The sequence below is a fragment of the Homo sapiens genome, chromosome 9, assembly GCF_000001405.40.
Source record: "Homo sapiens chromosome 9, GRCh38.p14 Primary Assembly".
Taxonomy (NCBI): Eukaryota; Metazoa; Chordata; class Mammalia; order Primates; family Hominidae; genus Homo; species Homo sapiens.
Window position 1 is genome coordinate 20,530,535 of NC_000009.12, and position 18,274 is coordinate 20,548,808.

An 18,274-nucleotide genomic window follows, 5' to 3' on the forward strand; every position below is an offset into this window, starting at 1 on the left:
CCCTTCAAGATGTGCAAAATGTTTTCAGAAATCCGTACCTATATTATGTCTTGTTCTCTGGTAAATACATGCATAAAAACAGTTACTGAATATAAACAGGTGTTCAGTAAACCATGATTCCAAAAGTCCTGTATAAATTGCTTGCACATTTTGGGTTTTGCTTGCTCTGTAGCCCATCCTCTACATCCTGGGTTTCAATCGATTCTCCTGCCTCAGCCTTCCAAGTAGCTGGGAATACAAGCATGCACCACGACATGGATAATTTTTTGTGCTTTTAGTAGAAATGGGGTTTCACTATGTTGGCCAGCTTGGTCTCGAACTACTTATCTCAAGTGATCGGCCCACCTTGGCCTCCCAAAGTGCTGGGATTACAGGTGTGAGCCATCGTGCCTGGCGCTGCTTGTACATTTTGAGCAAATTATGTATTACATATTTTATTTACATCTTTTTAACCTAATTTAATTCATCTACTTATATTTTTAAGATACTTCTAGTTTTTTTCCCAAAAAAGAAAAATCCAAGAATAATCCAGTTTTGCTTTTAGCTTTTTTTTTTTTTTTTGATACATTGCCCTTTTTCTCCTCTCTATCCAATATTCAGTTGCTTTTTTTTTTTTTGGAAACATAGTCTTGCTCTTGTCACCCAGGCTGGAGTGTAATGGCGCGATCTCGGCTCACTGCAACCTCTACCTTCCAGGTTCAAGTGATTCTCCTGCCTCAGCCTCTGGAGTAGCTGTGATTACAGGCGTATGCCACCACGCCCAAGTAATTTTTGTGTTTTTAGTAGAGACAGCGTTTCACCATGTTGTCCAGGCTGGTCTCAAACTCCTGACCTCAGGCCATCCACCCACCTTGGGCTCCCACAGTGCTGGGATTACAGGTGTGAGCCACTGTACCTGGCCTCCTTTCAACTTTATATTCACCTATTTTTATCTTTTTTAAAAGCACCACTTGCCTTTGTTTTAATTCTCTGTCAAGCAATTAATTGAGATTTCATCCTGCTGGCAACCACTCTAGTTCTGCAGCATCCTCAATGAGAAGCAAGGTCCACTTCTCATTTGTCTTCCTTTCAACTGTTTCTATTTCCACACTTTCACTAGCAATATTAATTTCAACCAATTTCTAAGACAAGAAGTATGCCACTGAATGTATAACTGATCTTAACAACAGATTAACAAATTGTTGATTCCCTGCCATTTTCAAAATATCAAATATACAAGACAGTAATTTTTTTAAAATATTTTTTCATCTCTGAGGGAAAGGATGATTTGAAGACTCCTTTCAAATTCCCAAGAAAGCCTCTCAATATTATCTGTGTAAACTACTGATTCACAGGAATAAATATTTGTTATTTAATATAAACTAAAATGAAAATTTTTAGCTTTCACAGGAAAAGCTAAAAATTTTCATTTTAGTTTAGACTAAATAACAAATATTTACAAAACATTCACTATTCGTTAGCTTAGTGACAGACAGCACTATTCAAAAGCCCACAAAAATGACCAAATTAAAACGATTGCAAGTTGTTTTCACAGCTATGTTCCATTACAGATTTGTTAACGGCCCCTAAATGTCATGGCCTCAAGCGAAACATTAAACCTTATCAGCCATCATTTAATCTGTAAAGTGAAGATATTCAACTATGTGATAAAGTCTTCACAATAATCTAGAAAATACTGCTTAGCCAAAGTGACCCTCGCAAACATTCACCAGCAATACTTTAAAAGATTACCTTCTGTTGTTAGAAATACATTATGGAAAAATGTAAAAAAATAGGAAAAAAAAATATATATATATAAATCACTCAAACCATCACCCAAGAGTAACAACTGTGAAAATTTGTGGAATAGTAAAAGACACCAAAATGTAATATGTTCATAATCGTAAAAAATTAACACAGTTGCAGTCATATAGTATATAATTTGAGCCTACATTTTCAACTTGTATCATAAATTCTGTCCTAGGTCATTAGAACATTTAAGAAAATGTCATCTTGCTCTCTCCTTCCGCCACCCAAGGTTCCCAAAGGAAAGAAGGCCAAGAGAAAGAAGGTGGCTCCGGCCCCTGCTGTCCTGAAAAAGCAGGAGGCCAAGAAAGTGGTAAATCTCCTGTTTGAGAAAAGGCCTAAGAATTTTGGCATTGGACAGGATATGCAGCCCAAAAGGGACTTAACTCGCTTTGTGAAATGGCCCCACTATATCAGGTTGCAGCAGCAGAGCCATCCTATTACAAGCGGCTGAAAGCACTTCCTGAGATTATTAACCAGTTCACCCAGGCCCTGGACCATTAAACAGCTACTCAGCTGCTTAAGCTGGACCACAAGTACAGACCAGAGGCAAAGCAAGACAAGAAGCAGAGCTTGTTGGCCTGGGCTGAGAAGAAAGCTCCCAGCAAAGGGCACATCCCCACTAAGAGATCACCTGTCCTTCGAGCAGGAGTTAATATCATCACCACCTTGGTGGAGAACAAAAAGGCTCAGCTGGTGGTGACTGCACACAACATGGATCCCATTGAGCTGGCTGTCTTCCTGCCTGCCCTGTGTCGTAAAATGGGGGTCCCTTAAGTGCATTACCAAGGAGAAGGCAAGTCTGGGACATCTAGTTCACAGGAAGACCTGCACCACCGTCACCTTTACACAGGTTAACTTGGAAGGCAAAGGAGCTTTGACTAAGCTGGTGGAAGCCATCAGGACCAATTATAATGACAGATATGATGAGATCTGCCGTCACTGGGTCCCTAGACTGTGGCTCACATTGCCAAGCTCAAAAAGGCAAAGGCTAAAGAACTTGCCACCAAACTGGGTTAAATGTACACTGTTGAGTTTTCTGGAAATAAAAATAATTAAAATAAAACAAATTTTCCTTCAAAAGAAAAGAAAAGAAAAGAAAATGTCATCTTGATGGCTGTTTAAAAAATCTACCACCAGAATGTAAATTGGTACAGCCATTATAGAAAATAGTATGGAGGTTCCTCAAAAAATTAAAAATAGAACTACCATATGATCCAGCAATCTCACTACTGGGTATATGTCCTAAGGAAATAAAATCAGTATCTTGAAGAGATATCTGCACCCCCATGTTCACTGTAGCATTACTCACAATAGCCAAGATATGAAAACAAGCCAAGTGTCCATCCACAGATGAATAAACTGTGATACATATAAGCAACAGAATATTATTCAGTCATAAAAGAGAAGGACATCCTGCCATTTGTAGCAAAATAGATGAACCTGGAGGACATTATGCTAAGTGTAATAAGCTAGACACAGAAACACAAACACTGCATGATCCACAGGTAGAACCTAAAAACGCTGAAGTCATAGAAGCAAAGAAAGGTTGTTGCCAGGAGCTGAGAGGTGGGAGAATCAGGGACATGTTAGTCAAAGGGCACAAAGTTTCAGTTAAAATCTAACTTCTGGGGATCTCATATATATAGCATGGATGGTGATGGATATGTGAATTAATTTGTGGTAGTCATGGCACAATGTACACGTATATCAAATCATCAGGCTGTATAACTTGTACTCAATCCTAATTTGTCAATTAAATATTTTTAAGTAAATAAAAGTCATCCTTAAAAAAAAGCTACCACCAGAATATTCAACAGTTATTATACAAAATAGGGATATTTCGAAAGAGAAATGTTTAGCAAATTTATTTCTAAAAATTTTGTAAGTCATGTCTTCGGAAAGTTGCTACCGTGGGAGAACTGACCCAACTTTTAAAAAGCAAGTCAAATGAACAGCAATGGCAACGATGGGAAAAAGTCTTCATTAGAAATGCATCTTTAGAGCTTTCAACATCTGAAAAAGAGAAAGGTCCAATTTAAATAGTGATCCTATGGCCCTATTTTAATCCTTTATATAAGCTATCAAACAGATCATTCCAAATAATCTAAAGTTTAGAAATAGTTATGAATTCATGCAATCATGTGAAAAGTTCTGAACTTTAGTAGCATTCCCCTTCATTTTTCACTCTGCTTTGTCCTCCTTGGATGAACAGAACACTGTGTTCTAACTATTCTCCTCAATAAGCACACTAAACACATAAGCACTTAGAAAATTATAAAGAAAAGGCCAGGCGTAGTGGCTCACACCTGTAATCCCAACTTTGGGACGCCAAGGCGGGCGGATCACGAGGTCAGGAGATCGAGACCATCCCGGATAACACAGTGAAACCCTGTCTCTACTAAAAATACAAAAAATTAGCTGGGCGTGGTGGCAGGCGCCTATAATCCCAGCAACTTGGGAGGCTGGGGCAGGAGAATGGCATGAACCCAGGAGGCAGAGCTTGCAGTGAGCTGAGATGATGCCACTGCACTCTAGCCTGGGGGACAGGGCAAGACTCCATCTCAAAAATAAAACAAAATAAAATAAAATAAAATAAAAAGAAGAAAATTATAAAGAAAAAATAGATTAGGAACCAAAGACATGAACTAATCATGGTTTGCTCAAACAAGAATGAGCAGATCAAACTTCAAAGACTAAGTCTTTTATAGCAGGGGTCCCCAACTCCCAGGGCCTAATACTGGTACTGTTAGGAACCCTGGCCTGTTAGGTACGGGGCCACACGGCAGGTCAGCGGCAGGTGAGCTAGCGTTACCGCCTGAGCTCCACCTCCTCTCAGATCAGTGGTGGCATTAGATTGTTTCTCATAGGAGTGTGAAACCTCCTGTGAACTGCACATGTGAGGGATCTTGGTTGTGCACTCCTTATAAGAATCTAATGATGAATTTAATCTGATGATTTGAGGTGGAACAGTTTCATCCCGAAACCATCCCCCCACCCCATCCATGGAAAATTGTCTTCCATGAAACCAGTCCCTGGTGCCAAAAAGGTTGGGGACCACTGTTTTTCCATCACATAATGTAAGAAAAGAAGTACAGCAGCACCACAGGGTCAATCAGGTCTACCCCAGAAAGCCCTGGTGCCAAAGAGGCCACAGCCAGCAAGCCTTTTTTAAACACAATATAACTTTTAATAGAAACCAAGAAAAAAGGAAATGCGCAACCAAAAAAATCAATCATAAAATATTTGAGTAATGAGAGACAAAAAAATAGTTACTGAAAGAAAACCATATTCTATTCGCTCAGCAGGAAGAGACTCTGCAAGGAGCACACGTTTAGGATTACAATACGTACTGACCAGCCCTGAACCAGCAGGGTCTTGGTACAGCAGAGATGCTCACCAGAATTAAATTCAGTTCAGGAGACATTAGCTGATCCTCTCAACTCCCACATGTCCCACATCCTCAATGACATCACTGCAAAAACTGTTTGATACCGGCAAGTGTTAGGAGAAATAGGAAGATGCCCATCCATTTTTAAGCTAGAAATATCCAAACAATGCATAAATTAGACCCAATGAGGTTGCCTTTTAATCCACCAAGAGGCAGACATGACTATGTGATTTTATTACTAAACAAAACTTGTAAGGACCTCCTGTACTTATTAAATATAAAGTAGCTTTTAAAAGTCCATCACAGGTATATTTCTGACTGTAATTTTTAAAGGGGGATTTTTTTTCTTAATGTAGTCAAGCAGGCAAAGAGCCAATCAATCCATTAGAAAAATCAAAGAGCCAGAAATCTATGCTTTGTCATTAATTCAGCCATGCGACTACCATTACTACCAGCATCTTTAAAAACAAAACAAAACAAAACAAAACAAAACAAAAAAACTGGACAGCAGGGAATAAATGGATAGCAAAACAGAAAGAAGAAAATGGCTTTGTGGTATTTATCCTACAAGTGAGGTAGAGCTCATACTTCTAGCTCATGCTTGTCCTTGGGAGTGAGCAAGTGTCCAGGGTTTTGGCAGGGCACACAGTAATAAAAGAAGACACCATGAGAAAGCCTTTTCTGACTCCAGATTTTGATGGGTATCATTTAGGCAAAAAGAGTATACTGGGATTATTCAACCCTTTTCCCCACTGCCTTTAATACTGAGCACGCCATAAAAACCAATATGCAATGCTAGCCCGTAAAATTAAAATGCTATATGCCTACTGTTCTCTCGGAATCAGTCTAATGAGCCAACTGTAGCCACAGTTAGCTTAGAAGAAAAAGTGAACCAAAGGGAAAATAGTAACATAGGTAAGGCATAATACTGTAATCAAAGTCCCTTCAATTTTAAATTGGATTACTGATGAGTCTTCCTGAAGGGTAATCTTTTGTAGTAGTGCCTATTTTGTTTGTTTTAATAAAATCTACTGTGTGCATCTTTTAAAAATACAAAATTACTACAAACTACCTAGCCAAGACTATTTTTTCTCCACTCCAGTATGGGACGACTCCTGCAGGTAGTAGCTGTTTAACTAGAAAAAAAAAAAAAAACTGCCAACAAGCACATACTGTGCAGAAAACATAAGCACTACATTTATAGACAGCAGCAGCTTTCCAGAACATCTATGATGGCAGCCTGAATGAAGAACAACCGTCTGGTTCTTCATTTATAATGAAGGTTTCAGAAACACAAACATCCAGGACCATGAAACCTAGGTGCCCTGCATTGCCAGCTGTAAAACTATAGATGGGAAGTCCCAAAGTAGCCAATTATTTAAGGCCATATATGAGCTGTTTCAACATATGCATTCATATACACTTACCTTTCTCTTAACTACAGATATTTAAAATATTATACATTCTGAAATAGGTTGAAAAAAGCAAATGAGTACTCAATGTTATTAAAGCTGGGCAAGAAAGAGCTAAGGCCAAATCAATGCATACTACATACAGAATAGAATGTATTCCATATAAGTGAAAATATTACATTTGTCTAGAGTAGGGGGCAGAGTTATTTTTTAATCTGTTACGGAAATGTACAATTTACAGAAAATGATGTATTCTTTTTGTACAAGAAAATATATTTTAGATAGGCTTTCTTATCTGAAGAATGTTTTTATTTTCCTACAGATGATTATCTCACCTTCATAAACATCTTGAGTCATAAGCTCCAGTGCATGGTTTTCCTAATAAAAGAACACTTAACATTTTTCACCCATTTACACTTTAAAAAGAAGCGGGGGTGAGGGAGTCCTGCCAATTCACATGTATACATCTCAAACAAATCCTTGGTTCCAATGTGAATTTTCACATGGTTATTTTCAAATATTTGGACTAATTCAGATATAAAGCAATGCAAGCTACAAAAGCTAAATGTAATTAAAACACCAAGAAGAAGAAATTTAAAAGCACTACCATTAAATTTATAAACTTCAGATCCTGCAGATGATTTATTGCCCTATGAAAATAAAGTCTAAGTTGCAAAATGTATTTGACAGACATGGCATATTATAAGCACTCCAACATCAAAGTATCATAGTTTATGCTGTCCAAATACATTAATCTTCATCTTAGCCTAGGTTTGAAACATATATTTTAAAAACTAATTACAAATCAGAAGACAAATGATAAACTACATGGCAGACTTATAATATTCCTTAATATAAATGCAAGGTTCATATAACTATTAAAAGATTTGGAAACCTCCACTGACTTGAGAAGATAAAGTCTCCCATTATACCATCTGGGTGTTAGAATTCTTATGGAAAAAAATTATTTGTGCCCCATGTGTTCATTATTGCTGATGGAATTAGAAAGGTTAGTTTTTTTAGAACCTAAGAATTTAGCTACTATTCTCACTTTTATTTGTAAAATTCAAAGTAATAAAATATACCACATTGAAATAGCACTTAATGAGTGCCAAGCACTGTGTTTAATCCAATTAACTCTTGAAACATTTCTCTGAGGTAGTTTCTAACATTATCTTCATTTTACAGATAAGGCAATTGAAACAAAGGGGTCAAATTACTTGCCCAAAATTTATAAGTAAGTAAGTAACACAGCTGAAATTCAAATCCAGGCAATCTGGCTCCAGAGTCTTAACCACATTTCTAGAGCATGCCATATTAAACAATCCCAACCTTCTTTCCTGGCTTCCAACCTCCACCTCAATATCAGGAATACCTGAGAAGGCAAACATTCCTATCTAAATTCACACCATCTGCAATTTCTTTTGAAAAAGTAAATTCGTATACCAAAGTTGCTCCAAACATGCTTGAGATAAAAGAGAAAAGAAGGAAATTCCCTTACACTTCCCAGAAAGAGAAAATGAATACAAAATGCAAAAATTTATAAACTATATAAAATTAAAGAAGTAAGGCATTACAAATCGAGTTTTTAAACATTCCTATTTAGTCCCTTAAAAACATAAATAAAACACCAATGTTTTTTAAAAATCTGCACAGGCATACCTCAGAGATATTGTGGATTCAGTTCCAGATCACCACAACAAAGCAAATATCACAATAAAGCAAGTCAAGTAAATTTTTTGGTTTCCCAGTGCAAATAAAAGTTATGTTTATACTATAATATAATATACACATGTGCGATAGCATTATGTGTTTAAAAAATGTACATGCCTTAACTTTAAAATGCTTTATTGCTTTAAAAAAAATGCTAACAATCACTTGAGCATTCAGCAAATCATAATCTTTTCACTGGGGAGCAGTAATGCCTGGATGTTGATTGCTACCAACTGATCAGGGTGGTGGTTGCTGAAGGCTGGAGTAGCTGTGGTGATTTCTGGAAATAAGACAACAATGAAGTTTGCTACATGGATTGACTCATCCCTTCACAACAGATTTCCCTGTGGCATGTGATGCTGTTTGATAGCATTTTACCCACAGTTGAACTTCCTCCAAATTGGAGTCAATCGTCTCAAACCTTGCCACTGCTTTATCAACTAAGTTTATGCAATATTCTAAAACATTTGTTGTAATTTCAACAATGTTTACAGCATCTTTACCAAGAGTAGTACATTAGTCCATTTTCACAGTGCTATAAAGAACTACCTGAGAATGGGTAATTTATAAATAAAAGAGGTTTAATTGACTCACAGTTCCATATGGCAGGAGAGGCCTCAGGAAACTTACAATCATGGCTGAAGGCTGAAGGCAAAGGGGAAGCAAGGCACACCTTATAGGACAGCAGGAGAGAGAGAACAAGGGGAGAAGTGCCACACTTTTAAACCATCAATTCTTGTGAGAACTGACTCACTATCACAGGAATAACATGGGGGAAATCCACACCCATGATCCAATCACCTCCCACTAGATACCTCCCCTGACACACGGGGATTACAATTCAACATGAGATTTGGGTGGGGACACATAGCCAAACCATATCATTCTTCCCCTGACCCCTCCCAAATCTCATGACCTTCTCACACTGTGAGATCAATCATTCCTTCATGACAGTCCCCGAAGTCTTAACTCATTCCAGCATTAACTCAAAAGTCCAAGTTCAAAGTCTCATCTGAGATAAGGCAAGTCCCTTCCACATAAGGAAGGTCCCTTCCATCTAGAAGCCTATAAAATCAAAAACAAATTAGTTACTTCCAAGATACAATGGAGGTACAGGCATTGGGTAAATGCTCCCATTCCAAAAGGGAAAAAGTGCCCAAAACAAAGAGGCTACAAACCCCAGGCAACTCCAAAACCCAGCAAGGCAGTCACTAAATCTTAAAGCTTCAAAATAATCTCCACTGACTTCGTGTCTCACATCTAGGGCATGCTGATGCAAGGGCTGGGCTCCCAAGGCCTTGGGCAGCTCTGCCCCTGTGGCTCTGCAAGGTAGAGCCGCCACAGCTGCTTTCACGGGCTGGTGTTGAGTGTCTGCAGCTTTTCCTGGTGTACAGTGCAAGGTGTCACTGGAGGACGATGGCCCTCTTCTCACAGCTCCACTAGGCAGTGCCCCAGTGGGGATTCTGTGTAGGGGCTCCAACCCATTTACCTCCTGCACTGCCCTAGTAGAGGTTCTCCATGTGGCCTCCACCCTTCCAGCAGACTTCTGCCTGGACATCCAGGCATTTCCACACATCCTCTGAAATCTAGGCAGAGGTTCCCAAACCTCAATTCTTGCCTTCTGCACACCCACAGGTCCAACACCACGTGGAAGTCACCATGGCTTGGGGCTTGAACCCTCTGAAGCCATGGCCCAAGCTGTACCTTGGCCCCTTTTAGCCATGGCTGGAGCTGAAGTGGGTGGGGCTGGAGATGGAGCAGCTGGGACACAGGGTGCCATGTCTTAAGGCTGCACAAAGCAGCAGGGTCCTGGGCCTGGCCCCTGAAACCATTTTTCCCTCCTAGGCCTCCAGGCCAGTGATGGGAGGGGCTACTGTGAAGGTCTCTGATATAACCCTGGGGGCATTTTCCCTAATGTCTTGGCTATTAACATTTCACTCCTCTTTACTAATGCAAATTTCTGCAGCCAGCTTCAATTCCTCCCCAGAAAATGGGTTTTTCTTTTCTACGACATGGTCAGGCTGCAAATTTTCCAAGTGTTTATGCTCTGCTTCCCTTTTAAACATAAGTTCGAATTTCAGAACATCTCTTTGTGAATGCATATGACTGTATGCTGCTAGAAACATCCAAGTCAAATCTTGAATGCTCTTTGCTTAGAAATTTCTTCCACCATATACCCTAAATCACCTCTCTCAAGTTCAAAGTTCCACAAATCTCTAGGGCAGGGGTAAAATGCCACCAGCCTTTTTGCTAAATTATAGCAAGAGTGACCTTTACTCCAGTTCCCAATAAGTTCCTCTTCTCCATCTGAGACCACCTGTCTGGACTTCACTGTCCATATCACTATCAACATTTTTGTCAAAACCATACAATAAGTCTTGAGGAACTCACAAACTTCAACATCTTCCTGTATTCTTCTGAGTCCTCTGAACTGTTCCAACCTCTGCCTGGTACCCCGTTCCAAAGTTACTTCCACATTTTCAGGTATCTTTACAGCAGTGCCACACTACCAGTACCAATTTTCTATGTTAGTCTGTTTTTGCACTGCAATGAAGAACTACCTGAGTCTGGATAATTTATAAAGAAAAGAAATTTAACTGACTCACAGTTCTGCATGGTTGAAGAGGACTCAGGAAACTTACAATCATGGCAGAGAGAGAAGCAAGGCACATCTCACATGGCAGCAGGAGAGACAGCACAAAGGAGGACCTGCCACACTTTTAAAACTTCAGATCTCATGAGAACTCACTATCATAAGGCCCGCATAGGGGAAATCCGCCCCCATGATCCAATCAACACCCACCAGGTCCCTCCCCTGACATGTGGGAATTACAATTTGACATGAGATTTGGGTGAGGACATAGAGCCAAACCCTATCAAGTAGCTTCCATCTCAAAGAAACCACTTTTGTTGTTCATCCATTAGAAGCAACTCCTCATCTGTTCAAGTTTTATCATGAGATTGCCGAAATTCAGTCATATCTTCAGGTTCTACTTCAAATTCTACCTCTTTTAGTACACCTACCATATCTGCAGTCATTTCCTCCACTGAAGTCTTCAACCCCTCAAAGTCATCAAATTCTTCCAAAATCCTGTTCATGTTGATATTTTGACCCCCTCCCATGAATCACAAATGTTCATAATGGCATCTAGAATAGTATATCTTTTCCAGAGGTTTTCAATTTACTTTACCCAGTTCTATCAGAAGAATCACTATCTATGGCAGCTGTTGCTTTATGAAATATATTTCTTATATAATAGTAAGTGAAAGTCAAAAATTACTCCTTGACCCATGAGCTGTAGAATGGGTGTTGTGTTGCCAGGCAAGAAAATAGTATCAATCTCCTCATACATTCCCATCACAGCTCTTCTGTAACCAGGCACATGGTCAATGAGCAGTAATATTTTTTTTTTTTTTTTTTTTTTTGAGACGGAGTCTTGCTCTGTCGCCCAGGCCGGACTGCGGACCGCAGTGGCGCAATCTCGGCTCACTGAAAGCTCCGCTTCCCAGGTTCACGCCATTCTCCTGCCTCAGCCTCCCGAGTAGCTGGGACTACAGGCGCCCGCCACCGCGCCCGGCTAATTTTTTGTATTTTTAGTAGAGATGGGGTTTCACCTTGTTAGCCAGGATGGTCTCGATCTCCTGACCTCATGATCCACCCGCCTCGGCCTCCCAAAGTGCTGGGATTACAGGCGTGAGCCAGAGCAGTAATATTTTTAAAGGAGTCTTTTTTTTCTGAGCAGTAGGGCTCAACAGTGGGTTTAAACTATTCAGTAAGCCATGCAGTAAACAGATGTGCTGTCATCCAAGCTTTGCTCTTCCACTTCTACACTACAAGCAGAGTAAAATTAGCATAATTCTTAAGGAACCTAGGATTTTCAGAATGGTAAATGAGCAGTGGCCCTTAACAAGAAAGCCATCCTGTCCTTTGAAGATTTGAAGCTAGGCATTGACTCCTCATCCTGGATGGTATCTTCACCATTAGAAAGCTGTTTGGTTTACATTGAAAATCTGTTGTTTAGTGTAGCCACCTTTCTCAATGATCTTAGCTAGAGCTTCTGGATAACTTGCTGCAGCTTCTACGTCAGCACTTGCTGCTTCACCTTGCACTTTCATATTATAATGGTAGCTTCTTTCTTCAAATATCATGAAACAACCTCTGCTAGCTTCAAACATTTCTTCTGCAGTTTCCTCACTCCTCTCAGCCTTCAAAGAATTGAAGAGATTTAGGGCCTTGCTCTGGATTAGGCTTTGGCTCAAGGGAAAATTGTGGCTGGTTTGATCTACCCAGACCACTAAACTTTCTCCATATTAGCAATAACCCTGTGTCGCTTTCTTAACATTCGACTGTTCACTGAAGGAGCACATTTAGTTTCCTGCAAGAAATTTTCCTTCACACTCACAAGCTGGCTAACTACTTGGTACAAGAGGCCTAACTTTTGACCTAACTCACCCAGCTTTTGACATGCTTTCCTCACAGCACTTAATCATTTCTAGCTTTTAATTTAAAGTGACAGACATGCAGCTCTTCCTTTCACTGGAATACACAGTTCAAGTCTTACATGGGTATGGCTTATGGTGCCCCCAAAACAGTTACAATAGTATCTTCAAAGATCACTAGTCACATTCCCATAACATATATAAGAATAATGAAAAACTGGCCAGGTGCAGTGGCTCATGCCTCTAATCCCAGCACTTTGGGAGGCCAAGAAGGGAGGATTGCTTGAGGTCAGGAGTTTGAGTCTACAGCGGGCTATGATCGTGCCGGTATACTCCAACCTGGGCAGAAGAATGAGACCCTGTCCCAGAAAGAAGAAGAAGGAAAAGAAGGAGGAGAAGGAGAAGAGGAGGAGGAAGAGGAAGAGGAAGAGGAGGAGGACGGAGGAGGAAGGAGGAAGGAGGAGGAGGAGGATAAAAGGAAGGAAAAGGAGGAGGAGGAGGAAAAAAACTGAAAACATTGCAAGAATTACCAAATTATGGCATAAGAACACAAAGTGAGCATATGCTATTGGAAAAATGGTGCCAATAGACTTGCTTGATGCAAGGTTACCACAAACCTTCCATTTGTAAACAATGCATTATCTGCAAAGCGTAATAAAGTGAAGCACAATAAAACAAGATTCCCCTACAACAGGGGAATCAAAACTGTGTAGTACTGTCCTAAAGACAGACATATAAATAAACAGAACAGAATAGAGAACCCAGAAGTAAAGTCTTATAGATATGGACAAATGATCTTCAACAAGGATGCCAAGGCTACACAATGGGGAAAGGATAGTCTCTCCAACAAATGGTGCTGAGAAAACTGGATTTCCACATGCCAGAAAAAGAAGTTGGATTAAGACCAAAACATAACACTTTATAAAACTCCTAGAAGAAAACATAGGGGAAAACCTTCAGAATATCGGATTTGGGAGGGATTTCTTAAGCATGACAGCAAAAGTATAGGCAACGAAGCAAAAGTAGACTAATGGGACTATATATACCACGCTCACAAACTTCCATGCAGGAAAAAAAATGAAATGAAAAGGCAACCTATGAAATGGGAATAAATATTTCCAAATCATCTATTTGATAAGAGGTTGAACAGGACTTGAACAGACATTTCTCCAAAGAAAATATAGAAATGGCCAAGAGGCATATGAGAAGATGTTCAACATCACTAATTATCAGGGAATGCAAATGAAGCCACAATGAAGTACCATCTTTTCCACGTAGGATGGCCACTACTGAAAAAACAGAAAATAATAGGTGTTGACAAGGATGTAAAGAAATTAGAATCCTTGTGCACTGTCATTGGGGATACAAAATGGTAGAGCTGCTATGGAAAACACTATGAACATTCCTCAAAAATTAAAACTAGAATTACCATAGGATTCAGCAATCCCATTTCTGGGTATATATCCATAGGAAATGCAATCAGTATCTCAAATAAATATTTGTACCCCCACGTTCAATGAAGCATTACTCAGTCGGGCATGGCTTATGCCTATAATCCCACCACTCTGGGAGGCCAAGGTTTGAGGACAGCTTGAGGCCAGGAGTTTGAGACCAATCTAGGCAACAAAGTAAGAACCTGTCTTTAAAAAAAATTAAAAATTAGCCAACGTGGTGGCGCACATCTGTAGTCCTAGCTACAGGCTAGGCTATAGCTGAGGCTGAGGTAGAAGGGCCATTTGAACACAGGAGCTCGAGGTTACAGAAAGCCATGATCACGCCACTGCAATCCAGCCTGGGTGACACAGCAAGACCTATCTCTACAAAAAAAAAAAAAAAAAAAAAAAAAAAGCAGCAGCAGCATTATTGACAATAGCCAAGAGGTAGGAGGAGCAACCTAAAAGTTCATTGAAAGATAAATAAACAAAATGTGTTATATACATACAGTGGAATGTTATTGAGTCTTAAAGAAATTCTGTCATATACTATAAGAGTGAACCCTGAGGACACGCTAAGTGAAATAAATCAGTCATAAAAAGACAAATACCACATGATCCCACTTACATGAGGCATTTACAGTGGTCAAACTCACAGAAACACAAAGTAGAATGGTGGCTGCCTGAGGCCTGGGGTGAAGGGGAGGGGATCCATTGTTAGATGGGTACAGAGTTGTAATCACACAGGGTGGGTGGAAGGAGTTCTGGGGAACTGTTTCATAGCAACATGCATGTGGTTGGCAAAAGTATACTGTACATTTGGAAACTATTGGAGGGTGAGTTTTATGTTATGTGTAAAAGTTTTTTTGCCACAATAAAAACAATTAGTACACAGGAATATATTACCTATATACAAAGTATTATTTAACAACCTTGTATTTTAGTCATACATCTTTAACCGTATTAGATTTAAATCAGCCCGAGCAGCAAATCTATTTGTTAAACATTCATATTCAATTATGAAAGGGGACCAGGTCCAGTGGCTCACATGTGTAATCCCAACACTTTGGGAGGTCAGGATGGGAGGATCCCTTGAAGACAGGAGTTCGAGACTAGCCTGGGAAATAAAGTAAGACCCAGTCTCTACCAAAAAAAAAAAAAAAAAAAAAATTAAAAATTAGCATCTCCAGTCCCAGCTACGAGAAAGACTGAGGCAGAAGGATCACTTGAGCTCAAGTGTTTCAATGCTGCAGTGAGCTATGATCGTGCCACTGCACCCTAGCCTGGGCAGCACAGCAAGATCTCATCTCTAAAAAAACAGTCATAAAAAAAGAAATTATGAAAGGGACAAGATTGAGATTATTTTCATATTCAACATATATTAAGCTAATATTATTTCCAGATGATTTTTATTTCTCTGACCTCTTCCAGAACATGAACTCCCAACACACAGGAACGTAGGAGTTTATCAAAATGCTTCCAAAGACACAGATTGTAAAAAGAGAGAATACAATGTTGCTTGATACAAATATAACACAATCTACACATGTAATTTAAAGTTTTCCCATTGCCACTTAAAAAATAAATAAATAAATAAAGGCAGGAAGATGGCTTGAGGCCCAGAGTTTGAAACCAGCCTGGGCAATACAGTGAGGCACTGTTTCAGCAAAAAAATTTTAAACTTAGCTGGCACATGTCGTGGCACATGCCTGTAGTCCTAGCTACTCAGGAGACCAAGGCAGGAGGATTGCTTAAGCCCAAGAGGTTGAAGGCTGCAGTGAGCTCTGATCACACCACTGCACTCTGGTATGGGCAACAGAGCAAGAACCTATCACTTAAAAAAAAAAAAAAAAATCTACTGTATGGTAGACGAACCTGTGTATGGTAGACACACCTGACAGTGATAACTTAAGCATACCTGCGAATGACCCTGTATGGCAGATGCACCTGAATGTGCATTTAGAGTTCCAAGCTAAGGAATCCAGGAGAGGCCAACCCGGAGATCCATTCCTTAACTATGAGGAACATCCAAGTCTTTACCCTCTCTCACTCCCATCCTGTCCCGTGGAACAGGCAGGGGCCATACAGGGGATCGAGGCTCTTTGTTTCGGGTTGAACGAAGGTTGCCAGGTGGAGACTGTTAGAGGAGGGTGCTAAGTAAAAATGCTACATAAACTGCATGCCTTCTGCAAGCAGTTGCAGTTCTTCTGCCCAGCCTGCTGCCATTGGCCTGTGCAGTTACCCTGTCCAGCCTGCTGCCACTGGATTCTTCCCCGTATATAAGGCCCAGAAACACCCCATGTCTTGTTTGCTGGCTCTGGGTCTCTTCTTTGGCCTCTTGAATCTGGTGCCATCCCCACTGGAGTCAATAGGAGTTTGGCACAACAGATACTGGTGACATTAACATAATATTTTATTTAATATACCAAAAATAGTTCCACTTTGTAGTGAATATTAAAAATTGAGATATGTTATATTCTTGTACTCATATACTTTTTTTTTTCCTGTAGAGATGAGGTCTTACCATGTTGCCCAGGCTGGTTTCAAACTCCTGGGCTCAAGTGATCTACCTGCCTCAACCTCCTAAAGTGCTGGAATTACAGGTGTGAGCTACCATGCCCGGCCCTCATACTGTCTTTAAAATTTGATACATGGCCAGGCATGGTGGCTCACGCCTGTAATCCCAGCACTCTGGGAGGCCGAGGTGGGTGGATCACCTGAGGTCAGGAGTTTACAACCAGCCCGGCCAACATGATGAAACCCCGTCTCTATTAAAATACAAAAAAATTAACTGGGTGTGGTGGTGGGCACTGTAATCCCAGCTACTCGGGAGGCTGAGGCAAGAGAATCTCTTGAACCTGGGAGGCGGAGGTTGCAGTGAGCCGAGATCGCACCATTGCACTCCAGCCTGGACAACAAGAGTGAAACTCCATCTCAAAAAAAAAAAAAAAAAAGGTACATACACTGGACAGTGGCTCACGCCTGTAATTCCAGCACTTTCGGAGGTGGAAGCAGATAGATCACTTGGGCCCAGGAGTTCAAGACTAGCCTGGGCAACAGAACAATAACTTGCCTCTACAAAAAATAAACAATATTAGCCAAGTGTGGTAGTGCACACCTATAGTCCTAGCTACTCAGGAGGCTTAGGTGGGAGGATCCCTCAAGCCCAGGAGCTCAAGGCTACAATAAACTGAGATCACATGACTGCACTCCCATCTGGACAACGCAGCAAGATCTTATCTCAAAAATAAAACAAAATAAAAGTTGGTACATATTTTACACCTATAGCACATCTCAATTCAGATGCTAAATTTTCATTTGACTACTTGACTTGTATCTAGAGTCCAAAAAAACTTTACAGTTGAAAAGGTAGATTCACATACCCAAGTTGCTCTAAACATATTTACAATTTTCCATTAATTGAATCAAGCCTCTTGTTTAAGTTTAAAATTAAATGAAATTTAGAATTCAATTCTCTAATCTAACCACATTTCAAGTACTCAACAGTCAAATTTGCCTAGTGACTGCCATATTGGACAGCATATGTCTAACAGGAACAGGAAAAAGCATCTATCTCATCAGTTGGCTCTATCTTCTCCAGTTCTCTGACATTGCGTTTATGATGGCTCTCGTAGTATCTAACTGGTACAGGCTGAGATTAACCTCCTCCGCAAGGAAGACATTTTTGTTCTCTGAAAAGCCATCAGCATTTGGAGTCTGAACAATGGTAAATGAAAATATTTTAAGTTTTCCAGGGGGGTGCTAAATACAGATTACATTTGACATCCCATTGGAGTACATACAGTAAATGGATTTTAATTGTAATAATTAATTATTGGAAACACCAAGGGTAAAACCTGCTTACCCTAATTATGTGAAATTGTTCTAAAATCCATTTGGAATGGCCCTGTTAAGAGTAAGATTGAAGAAAAGTCATCCCCTGTCCCAGGTGTAATCTCTTCTGCGGGCTCTGGGCAGCAGGCTGATAAAAAGGCAGCAAGGAGCTGCAAAAAGAATAAACTACTCACCTGAATGCCTTTGAAAGACTGATGGGCAATATTTGTTGGGAATTTGAATATTCTCAAACTTACCAAAACACA

General features: G+C 40.0%; 1 protein-coding gene and 1 pseudogene across 2 annotated transcripts in view; one reads left to right on the forward strand and one right to left on the reverse strand.

The window, feature by feature from the left end:
* The window catches only part of MLLT3 (MLLT3 super elongation complex subunit), a 280,831-nt gene that overhangs the window by 188,866 nt on the left and 73,691 nt on the right, over positions 1–18,274 (reverse strand). The gene's annotated exons all lie outside the window — the stretch shown is intronic.
* RPL7AP48 (ribosomal protein L7a pseudogene 48) lies at positions 1,992–2,865 on the forward strand (annotated as a pseudogene).